A 12,239-nucleotide genomic window follows, 5' to 3' on the forward strand; every position below is an offset into this window, starting at 1 on the left:
TCTCAACACTTTGGAATTCAAGACCGGCCTTAGCATCGTGGCAAAACCCCATCTCTACAAAAAAATGCAAAAATTAGCTGGGCATAGTGGTGTGCACCTGTAGTCCCAGCTACTCTGGAGGTTAAGGCAGGAGGATCAACTGAGCCCAGGGAGGTCAAGGCTGCAGTGAGCTTTGATTGTGCCACTGCACCCCAGCCTTGGTGACAGAGACCGTGTCTCAAAAATAAAAATTTAAAAAGCCACTGCTTCCAGCTATTGGTCATTCCCTCATCTCTAACTTTCCATTAACCTTAGAGTATACCCCTTAATATTACTCTTAATTCATGATTTAGTATTGTCACCATGATTTAAATGATAAGCACTTTGTGCACAAGCATTATCTTACTCTTTCTATGGTTCTTAAGCAGTGATTTCCAAGGAAGGAGAGGTATCATTTGAAAACAAAACAGCTCTTTGTCCCATAGGGATGTTTTTAAAAGCTATAACACTTAACTTACTGGAATTTCAAATATTAAAGGAAAATGTGAGACTTTTATGTTTTATCAAAAGAGGCATGTTGTATAATGAAAGAGTTAGGAGACAATTTTTCAGTGTTGAGCAAATAGAAGATAATTAATAGATATCTGTTGAACAATACATTGATTTCAACAAGCCATGAATTTGGATTCTTTTAGGATTAAACATTCAGACTTCTTATTTTAATGGAGAAACTGTTAGTAATATGACCTGCTGATTATAAAGGGGCCAAAAAACTGGTACTCACCAGCTGAACCAACTATTAAAAACGTAAGGATATGTTTGAATGTTTTTGTTATGAACCATTTGATATATAAAATGTGCGCAATGTATACATAAATTATAAAACAATAATAGATGGTGAAGTCACCTAATTTAAGAGATTTCTGGAACTGATTAACACCTATAATTTTTTTTTTTTTTTTGAGACGGAGTTTCACTCTTGTTGCCCAGGCTAGAGTGCAATGGTACAATCTTGGCTCACCACAACCTCTGCCTCCCGGGTTCAAGCGATTCTCCTGCCTCAGCCTCCCGAGTAGCTGGGATTACAGGCATGCGCCACCACACCCGACTAATTTTGTATTTTTAGTAGAGACAGGGTTTCTCCATGTTGGTTAGGCTGGTTTCAAACTCCCGACCTCAGGTGATCTGCCCACCTCAGCCTCCCAAAGTGCTGGGATTACAGGTGTGAGCCACCGCACCTGGCCAACACCCATAATTTAAAGGTTCTGTTACCTTTAACAGCAAATGACTTTATTTTTGCTCTAATTACATATATTTCACTGAGTTATTTTCTTAGTCTAGTATATTAAAACTGTGGCATTTCTTGGCCAGGCGCGGTGGCTCACGCCTGTAATCTCAGCACTTTGGAAGGCTGAGGTGGGTGAATCACCTGATGTCAGGGGTTCAAGACCAGCCTTACCAACGTGGTGAAACCCTGTCTCTACGGAAAATACAAAAGTGAGCCAGGTGTGGTGGTGTGCGCCTGTAATCTCAGCTACTCGGGAGGCTGAGGCAGGAGAATTGCTCAAACCTGGGAGGTGGAGGTTGCAGTGAGCCAAGATCACCCCATTGCATTCCAGCCTGGGCAACAAGAGTGAAACTCCGTCTCAAAAAAAAAGCATTTCTTTAAATTCTATAGTCAATATTCCTGTCTTACTCATTGCATTGGAATTATTTTGTTTCTGGCATGCTTGCTAACTCATGAGTTTGTACTTTTTTACTCTATTTTGAATATTCTGATTTCACATTACTGAGATAATCTTTCTTTCTTTCTTTCTTTTTTTTGAGACAAGGTCTCACTGTGTCTCCCAGGCTAGAGTGCAGTGGTGCCATCTTGGCTCACTGCAACCTCCACCTCCTAATCTCAAGCGATCCTCCTTCTTCAGCCCCCCAAGTAGCTGGGACTACAAGCATGAGCCACCATATCCGGCTAATTTTTGTATTTTTTGTAGAGATGGGGTTTCACCACATCGTTGCTCAGGCTGGTCTCGAACTTCTGAGCTCAAGCAATCCACCTGCCTCCACCTCCCAAAGTGTTAGGATTACAGACGTAAGCCACCGAGCCCAGCCTACCATGAGATAATCTTTCTACTTCATATTTCCTCCACACTGAATTGAATAAGCCACTTATCTGCTTATGTCCCTAGTCTACTCAAGTCATTTCATTCCTTCTTTGTATTGACTGACCCTCCCTCTAGTTTTGTATAACAAGCTTACTGCATGTTACTTCTTCCAAATCACTGACATATAAAAATGAACAAAGTTGGTCCTAATATTGATCCCTGGAGCGTTGTAACCCATCCATTCCAAACTATTCCACACTTTGATATCAAAGTCATTGTTTACTTAAGTAGTTCATCCCTATACTACTTATCTAACTTCTAGATTAGTTGTTTGTCTGGTATTCTTTTCATGGTATTTTATCCTAAAATACAAGTAATTGGTTCATGGCTTCCCTCAGCTGATATTTGTTATTAGACCCAGAAGTTATTTCATATCACTGAGGCAGATAAGATGTGAATCCATGCTGACTCTTTTTAAATTAAATCATAACTTTCTGATATTTCCATTTGCTGATTTCCTACAAAATTTACCAATGTCATCTTCTCTACAGAATTTAATACTTCTGAATCTCATGCTCAAGAGAAAAAGGGATATTTAGGGAATGAACAATAATTTAATGAGGGTTTTACTTATTAAAACTGACATAGACCTAGTCAAAGATAAAGTATTTCAAGTCACTTTTCTCCTTATTGATGAATTTAAACATCTATTAAGAATCAAGAAGCAGGCTAAGCATGGTGGCTCGTGTTTATAATCTCGGCACTTTGAGAGGCTGAAATGGGTGGATCATTTGAGTCTAGGAATTCATGACCAGCCTGGACAACATAGGGAGATGCTGTCTCTACAAAAAATAAAAAATTAGCTGGGTGTGGTTGCACCCGTGGTGGCATGCACCTGTGATCCTAGCTACTCTCGATGCTGAGGTAGGAGGATTGCTTGAGTCCAGGAGGTTAAGACTGCAGCAAGCCGTGATCGAACCACTGCACTCCAGCCTGGTCAACAGAGCAAGACCTTGTCTCAAAAAACAAACCAAAAAAAAAAAAATCAAGAAGAAACTATTCGCATTACAATAGTGAAAATGTATCAGAGTAGTCAAAATTCACAGAACTGTATACCTAAATAGGGTGAATTTTACTATATGTAAATTATACCTTATTTTATAAATAGAAAAAAGTAAATAGAATCTTCATTTTATGTTTGTTTTGTTTTTTTTTGAGACAGTGTCTCACTTTGTCACCCAGGCTGGAGTGAAGTGGCGCCATCTTGGCTCACTGCAACCTCTGCCTCCAGGGTTCAAGTGTTTCTCCTGCCTCAGCCTCCAGAGTAGCTGGGATTACAGGCACCCGCTACCACGCCCGGCTAATTTTTGTATTTTTAGTAGAGATGGGGTTTTGCCACGTTGGCCAGGCTGGTCTAGAACTCCTGACCTCAGGTAATCCAGCCACCTTGGCCTCCCAAAGTGCTGGGATTACAGGTGTGAGCCACCACGCCTAGCCAGAAGCTTCATTTAAAAAAAAAAAAAAAAAAAACTAGTAAATACGGAAAGTGAAACTCTGTGAGAATAGCACAGGGGATGGTTCAGGCTCCTATACCTGGGGGGTTTAACATAGACTAATTTAATTGTGGAAACTTTTTTGAAGAGGAGATGGAAGTATATGAAAAAAGGCTTAGAAATGAATATTTTGAAAGAAAGAAATCCATGGATAAACAGTGGAATGGCAAGAAATGCACATGTTAGGCCTAGGCCGGGCGCAGTGGCTGACACCTGTAATCCCAGCACTTTGGGAGGCCAAGGTGGGCGGATCACCTGAGGTCAGGAGTTCCAGACCAGCCTGGCCAACATGATGAAACCCTGTCTCTACTAAAAATACAAAAATTAGTCAGGTGTGGTGGTGCATGCCTGTAATCCCAGCTACTTGGGAGGCTGAGGCAGAAGAATCGCTTAAACCCAGGAGGCGGAGATTGCAGTGAGCCAAGATGACACCACTGCACTCCAGCCTGGATGACAGAGCGACACTCTGTCTCAAAAAAAAAAGAAAGAAAGAAAAGAAATGCACACTTTTAAAAGTGTGTTTAATGTATGCTAAAAGTAAATGCATAAAAAGGCCAAATGAATAAACCCACAGAGTTCCTCACAAACACATATATTTCTGCAAATATAACAGCAAGATTATAGAAAGAAAAATGGTATATATAAACACACACACACACATATATATATCTGTTTTGTACACTTGAAAGCAGGAACCATCAAAAAACTTTGCACCTAGTAGGACTTTAATAAATTATTTGACTAAAGTGATATTTAACTTCTTTAGGCCTATTATCTCATTATTAGTCAGCTATTCCTAACTTGTTTTTAATTTGTCTTATTATTTTTAATAAACTTTTTATTTTGGAATGCTTTTAGATTTACAAAAACAGTTACAAAGATAATATAGAATTCCCATATACCTCTAATCCAATTGTTAGATTAGAGCCAATCATTCCAGTTTGCACAGACTGTCCTGGTTTTAGCACTGAGAGTCCCACATCCCAAGAAACCCCTCTTCCACACAAACTGGAATGGTTAGTCACCCTACAATGTTAGTATCTTACCTTACCATGGTATATTTGTCAAAACTAAGAAACCAACAGAGTGCATTATTACTAAACTCCAGACTTCATTTGGATTTCATTAGTTTTTCCAGTAACATCCTTTTTCTATTATAGGATCTAATTCAGGATACCACATTCATGTGTTTAGTCGGCATGTCTTAGTGTTCTCTAGCCTGTGACTCTTTCTCAGTCTTTCCTTGTTTCTTATGACTTTAACTCTTTTAAGGAGTACAGTAGCCACCCTTATCTGTGAGGGCCATTCCAAGACCCCCAGTAGGTGCCTGAAACCTCAGCTAGTACTGAACCCAATTGCCATCAATCGGAACACGTTTTTGTTCATGTCTTCCACCCACAAACTTAATGCCTTTTGCATCTTAACTAGCATGTATCACGCACAGTGTCCATAAATTTTGCAATCTGAGGTGTGATGGCAAAACTAGCAGGAATTTCTTTTTCCTTCATCATAAGTTCACAGATAGAAGGTTTGTTCTTGTCTTAGATCTCAGCAACCCCAGCATATGATTTTTTTTCTTTTTCTGTTGAGTTGAGAAGGTTCACCTTTTCATTTAAAGAAGGCACTTTATGGCTTCTCCTTGGCATATCTGAATTGCCAGCATCACTACTCTTGGTGCTTTGGGACCATTATGAGGTCAATAAGAGTGACTTGAAGGCCAGGCGCAGTGGCTCACGCCTGTAATCCCAGCACTTTGGGAGGCCAAGGCGGGTGGATCACGAGATCAGGAGATCGAGACCATCCTGGCCAACATGGTGAAACCCCATCTCTACTAAAAATACAAAAAAAAAAAAAAAAAATTAGCTGGGCGTGGTGGCCCGTGCCTGTAATTCCAGCTACTCGGGAAGCTGAGGCAGGAGAATCCCTTGAACCAGGCAATCAGAGGTTGCAGTGAGCAGAGATCTCGCCACTGTACTCCAGCCTGGCAACAGAGCAAGATTCCATCTAAAAAAAAAAAAAAAAAAAGAGTGACTTGAACACAAGCACTGTGGTACTGTGACAGAATCCATGAAAGGGCTACTGAGTGACTAACAGGTGGGTAGGATTGACAGTGTGGATCTGCTGAACAAAAGGATGATTCACATCTGGGTGAGATGGTGTGGGATGGCCTGAGATTTCATCAAGCTACTGAGAACAGCACACAATTTAAAAGTGTAATTTTTTTATTTCTGGAATTTTCCATTCAATATTTTTTGCCACAATTTGCTGAAGGTAACTAAAACCACAGAAAGTAGAACTGTTGATAAGGAGGTGCTATTGTACTTACTGGTAACGTATTTTGTGGAATGTCCCTCAATTTGTGTTTGATGTTTTTCTGACATGTAGACTGGTCTTATGGGGCTTGAGGTCCTAATTTTATTTATTTATGTATTTACTCATTCATTCATTCACTTTTAGAACCGAGGTCTTGCTATGTTGCTCAGGCTGGAGTGCAGTGGCTATTCACAGGTGCAAACATAGCAGCTTCAAAACTTCTGAGTTCAAGCCATCCTCCCATTTCACGCTCCTGCATAGCTGGGACTACAGGTGCCCACCACCTCATCAGGCTCTTATTTATTTATTTATTTTTATTTTGTTTGTTGTTTTTTTTTGAGATGGGGTCTTGCTCTGTTGCCCAGGCTGGAGTGCAGTGGTGTAATCATGGCTCACTGCAGCCTCAACCTCCCAGGCTCAATTGATCCCCCCACATCACCCCCCCAGGTAGCTGGGACTACAGGTACATGCCACCACACCTGGCTAATTTTTGTATTTATTATAAGTGTGTAAATTTACCAGTTTATACACTCGCAAACAATTTATAAAAGTACTCATTTCTCCACACACTTAGTTTTCATTTTTATTTTTAATCTTTGCCAATTGGATCATCAAAACTATGGTGCTTTTTAAAGTTTCATTTCTTTGATTACTGGTGAGAGTGAGCATTTTTACATGGTTAGTGCCATTCGTATTATTCTATGAGTTTCTTGTTTATACCCTTTATCCAATTTTCTATTGAGACATTCATCATTTTCTTTTGATTAGAAAGTGCACATTAATGATGTTAAACGTTTTCTCTCAATAGATTTCCAATTTTTTTCCAGATTTTCATTTGTGTTTTAATAATGTCTTGATATTCAGAGGTGTGAACCACTCTCATTTGTTTTCTGCCTTTGGATGTTGTTTTTGTTTTTCGATTTGGTGTTGGTTTGATTTTAATATGGAGCTCAGTTCTGAATCCTGCTTGTTCCCAGGCAGCTCACATGAGTCTTCAAAACCTGCAGCACAGCAATCTCATCACATATGGACAGTGCTCTCCTTCCTAGTGAGGCAATACCCCTGAGTCCTCACAGCCCCAAGCTTTAGGAGATAAAAAAGAAACAAAAACAAATTCAAAAACACACTGCCCTGAAAGCTGCCAAATTCAGGCTGCCATTGACCTCCAAGGAAATAAATTCCAAAGATAGTAATAACCACAGTAAAAAAAAAAAAAATATTTTAACATAATTCAGCTCCAAAACCCCAAAACAGACTGTTGTAAAGGCTTTGGTACAGTAGAGAATAGGGGTTCCCAGCATCCTCTGTGAGCATCCCTGCCATCGAGTCTTTCCCTACAGCTTCGGCTGTCTCTGAACAGGAAACAGGAGCCTGGACTCTTAAGTCCTGCTCAGGGAGGCCAGGATTTCTCTTTCCTGTTTCCCATTCTCTTTGCCTCCATTTTAGAACTTTTAAGGTCCTGACAATTTCAGAACAGATGTCAGGACTGAAAGTTATTAGAAAGAACCAGAAAGGGGTGGGAGGAGGGAGAGCATCAGGAACAATAGCTAATGGATGCTGGGCTTAATACCTGGGTGATGGGATGATCTGTGCAGCAAACCACCATGACACACGTTTACCTATGTAACAAACCTGCATATAGACCCCTGAACTTAAAAGTTAGAAATAAAAAAAAAATTACTCCTAAGTATTTTATTATAGTGAGGCTTGATACCTTGTGGAGAAGGTCCTCCCTTCTTATCTGTTTTTTAAATTTATTTTCAGACAGAGTCTTTTTCTGTTGTCCAAGCTGGAGTGCAGTGACATGATCACAGCTCACTGCAGCCTTGACTTCCTAGGCTCAAGTGATCCTCCCACTTCTGCCTCCCAAAGTGCTAGGATTACAGGCATAAGCCACTGAACCCAGCTGTTATTCTTTTTATTCAAGAATGTCTTGGGTGGTGGTGGTTGTTGTTGTTGTTGTTGTTGTTGTTGTTGTTTTGAAATTTGCTCTTACATGTACATTTTAGAGCCAGTTGTCAGGCTCCATGAAAAATGTAGAATTTTCATTAGCATTGTTACTAGATCTATAGATCAATTTTGAAAGAATTCACATCTTTATTATATTGTGTATTTCTAGCCATGAAGATAGGGTATGTATTATTTAGATTTTCATAATGTCTTGCAATAAAGTTTCATAATTTTCTGCCAAAAAAAAGAGAAAGAACCGGCGGCTCACGCCTGTAATCCCAACACTTTGGGAGGCCGAGGCGGGTGGATCATGAGGTCAGGAGTTCAAGACCAGCCAGGCCAAGATGGTGAAATCCTATCTCTACTAAAAATACAAAAATTAGCCAGGCACGGTGGCAGGCACCTGTAATCCCAGCTACTTGGGAGGCTGAGGCAGGAGAATCGCTTGAACCTGGGAGGCGGAGGTTGCATGAGCCGAGATCACGCCACTGCACTGTAGCCTGGGTGACAGAGCAAGACTCCGTCTCAAAAAAAAAAGAGAAAGAACCAGAAACATTAAAAGATTAAAAAAGCCTTGTGCCTTCTCTTTCCCCCCACTCCTCTTAATGAAAACATTTAAGACAGCAAAAGCTTTACATTAAATTTAGGCAAGGAAAAATAAATAAATAAATAAAACTTGAGGCAAAAAGCAGGCCTAGTTCACAGATGGTATGGTTCTTTTTTTTATAATTGACAAAAGTTGTATGCATTTATGCTGTACAAAACACGATGTTTTGAAATCTGTATACATTGTGGAATGGCTAAATCCAGCTAATTAACATGTGCATTACCACACACACTTATTTTGATGTGTGTGTGTGTAATAAGAACACTTAACATCTACTCTCTTGGCAATTTTAAGTATAGAATACGTTGTTATTAACTAGTCACCATGTTGCACAATAGATCTCTTGAACTTATTCCTCCTGTTGAACTGAAATTTTGTATTCTTTAACCAACATCTTCCCAATCAACCCCCACTCCCACCCCACTACCAAGCTTCTGGTAACCACCATTCTATTCTGTTTCTAGACTTTTTAAGTTAGACTTTTTAAGATTGCACATATAAGTGAAATCATGCAGTATTTGTTCTGTGCTTAGCTTATTTTATTTAACATAATATCCTCCAGGTTTATCCATGTTTTCACAAATGACTTTTCTTCTTTTTTAAGGCAAAATAGTATTCCAGTATGTGTGTATATTTATATACACACACAACGAAATGTGACATATATATCTCTCACACACACATTTTCTTTATCCATTCATCCACTGATGGACACTTAGGTTGAACTTAGGTTGATTCCAGTCTTGGCTGTTGTTAACAATGTTGCAATGAACATGGAAGTGCAGGTATCTCTTTGACACACTGATTTCATTTCCATTGAATAGATACCCAGAAGTGGAATTGCTGGATCACATGGTAGTTCTATTTTTAATTTTTTGTAGAACCTCCATACTGTTTTCCACTATGACTGTACTAATTTATATTCCCACCAATAGTATACAAGGGTTCCCTTTTCTCCACATCCTTGCCAACACTTGTTATCTTTCATCTTTTTGAATAAGAGTCATTCTGACAGGTGTGAACATAGCTTGCTTTTGTATTATGAATCAAGGGATCTTAGGAAGGTCGCCTTCTCACATTTTCCCCAGAATATCTCCCTTCCACAAACTCACCATAAATGTTTTGTTTCTGAAGTGTCTGACCCAGTATCTAGTAGAGTGGGTATGTGTGAGTAACTGCAATAATTCTTGGAAAGAACTGAGATGTATGAACTAGATGTCTGTCCTCAAGTCTTCAGAGATACAGATTATCCTCTGGAAACAAAGGGTACCCACAGTTTTGCCTGGATTGCGCTTTCCAGTTGAGAAAGGGGGTCTTGGTAGAGAAGAGAGCCCATATGGCCTTGATTAAGGTGGGAGCAGATGATGATGGGAGGAGGTGCTGCTGGTGCCTTAAACACATGTTTACCCTCTCTATTGGGTAATCCAGCTTTGGTCCTGAGGGAGCTACCACACTGATATTCAATGGTATAAAAAATAGTAACAGGGATGTGGTTTTCACCCCCACCTCCTCACTATTCCCAAAAGTTGGTCTAATTCTAAAACTACAAATCAGAACAACTCAACATGCAGTCAGCAACCCCAGGTCACATCCTTAATTCCAAAAGGCTGCAGCCTAGCCCTGTTCAATGCAGCTGTGTTATAGAAATATTTTCTTTAACACTTGTAAACTGCCTTTTTTCTAGAGTTTCCTTGTTGGTGACCTTATTTTGCCATCCAGTTTCAGTGTAAATGCAGCACGGAAGGGGAGTGGGAGGGATGTCCTAGCCTGAGCCAAAGCCGGGCTCCAAGCCAGGATACAGATTCGTCTGGGCATGTCTGATGGGCTTGCCAGGAGTATCTCAGCATGAGGGATGGAGGAGGCCCATAGAAAATAACATCCTAAGTCAGTAGGTGTGGAGGGATGCATCACAGGTATCAGAATCACCAGGAAAACATTAAAAAATGCGTGTACCCTGCAAACTACACTCCTCATTCTGGTCGTGTGTGTACATGTGGGAACACTCTAGTGAGGAACCCTGCTTTAGCACCAAAATTGGCCCTAAGAGTTATGCAGATCAGTCTGCACTAGAGGCACTGAGAGCTCCGAGAAAACAATGTGGCTTCTGTGCATAGCAAGCGTTCCCAAGCCACTGGCAGTGTGACCTTGCTACGTTGCTGTGAACACCAATAGCTTCAGTGCCTCAGGTACAGTCTGCACCAGGATGCCTACACTAGAAACCATGGACCACTGGGAGTTCAAGAACAGGCTGCAGGGGTCCATGAACTCTGGAAAATTACATCAACTTACTGGGTATATGTTTGTATTTCTGGGAAGAGATTCAATAGGTTTTGTCAGATTCTCAAAAAAGAATGTAATCCTCAAAAGGTTGAGAACTACTGCCCTGGCAACTGCCAAAAACATACTGAGGAGAGCAGATTTTGTAAGATTCTGAGAATGCTATGATGGTAAATCTTGGCCAAAGCCAGAAAAATGTTGCTTTTTCATCTAATGTGACTTATTTTTACCTCGAGGCATCAGTGACCCGGCAAAACATTCGTTACGCGAAATCGCACCCATCTTATCCATGCTTTAAGCCCACTTTAAATGCTTCCACCTCCTCCCTAACCCAAATCATTGCTTCCTTGCCTTAACCTTGTGTATCTCCTTTGTAATAATACTTTTTCCCTAGTATGAGTACATATATCATCTCTCTTCTACAAACTATAACTTTTTTTTTTGAGACAGGGTTTTACTCTGTCACTCAGCTGGAGTACAGTGGCATGACTGTGACTCACTGCAGCCTCGAACTCCTGGGCTCAAGCAATCCTCCTGCCTCAGTGTCCTAAGTAGCTGGGACTACAGGCATGTGCCACCATGCCTAGCTAATTTTATTATATTTGTAGAAACAGCGTTTCACTATGTTGCCCAGGCTGGTGTCAAACTCCTGAGCTCAAGCAGTTTTCCCATCTCAGCCTCCCAAAGTACTGGGATTATAGATAGGAGCCACCAGGCCTGGCCAAAGTATAACCTTTAAGAGTAGGAATTATGTTTTATCCATCTTCTTTCTATCTTACAGTGTCTAGCATAGCACATTTACTTAGTTATCATTGGATGAGGAATGAACAAGTCATAAATCCATCCATCTGCCAGACCTTTTTACTCTCTCTACTAAAAACAACTAATCTTATTTATTTATTTTTACTTTTTATTTTATTTATTTATTTTTTTGAGACAGGGTCTCACTCTGTCGCCCAGATCTCAGCTCACTGCAACTTCCACCTCCCAGTTCAAGCAATTCTCCTGCCTCAGCCTCCTGAGTAGCTGGGACTACAGGTGTGCGCCACCATGCCTAGCTAATTTTTTTAATTTTTTTTATGTTTTTGTATTTTTAGTAGAGACGGGGTTTTGCCATGTTGCCTAGGCTTGTCTTGAACCTCTGAGCTCAGACAATCTACCCACCTCGGTCTCCCAGAGTGCTAGGATTATAGGCATGAGCTACTGCGCCTGGCCTAAAAACAACAAATCTTATTTCCTTGTAAGTTATGTATTTTAAATATATTCCTTATAACCTCCATTGTCCTAGTTCTTTTATTTACTTATTTACACATCATCCAATGTTTGCCTGCCTTATCTGTTTACTCAGTTGCACGCTGCTTGGAGGAACAGGATCCCATATAAGCCAAACTATGGAAACCTACATGCCTCTTGGGAAGAACGCACAGGGCTAACCAACATGTCCGATATCCTGGAGTA

This window comes from Homo sapiens, chromosome 2 (assembly GCF_000001405.40).
Source record: "Homo sapiens chromosome 2, GRCh38.p14 Primary Assembly".
Classification (NCBI taxonomy): domain Eukaryota; kingdom Metazoa; phylum Chordata; class Mammalia; order Primates; family Hominidae; genus Homo; species Homo sapiens.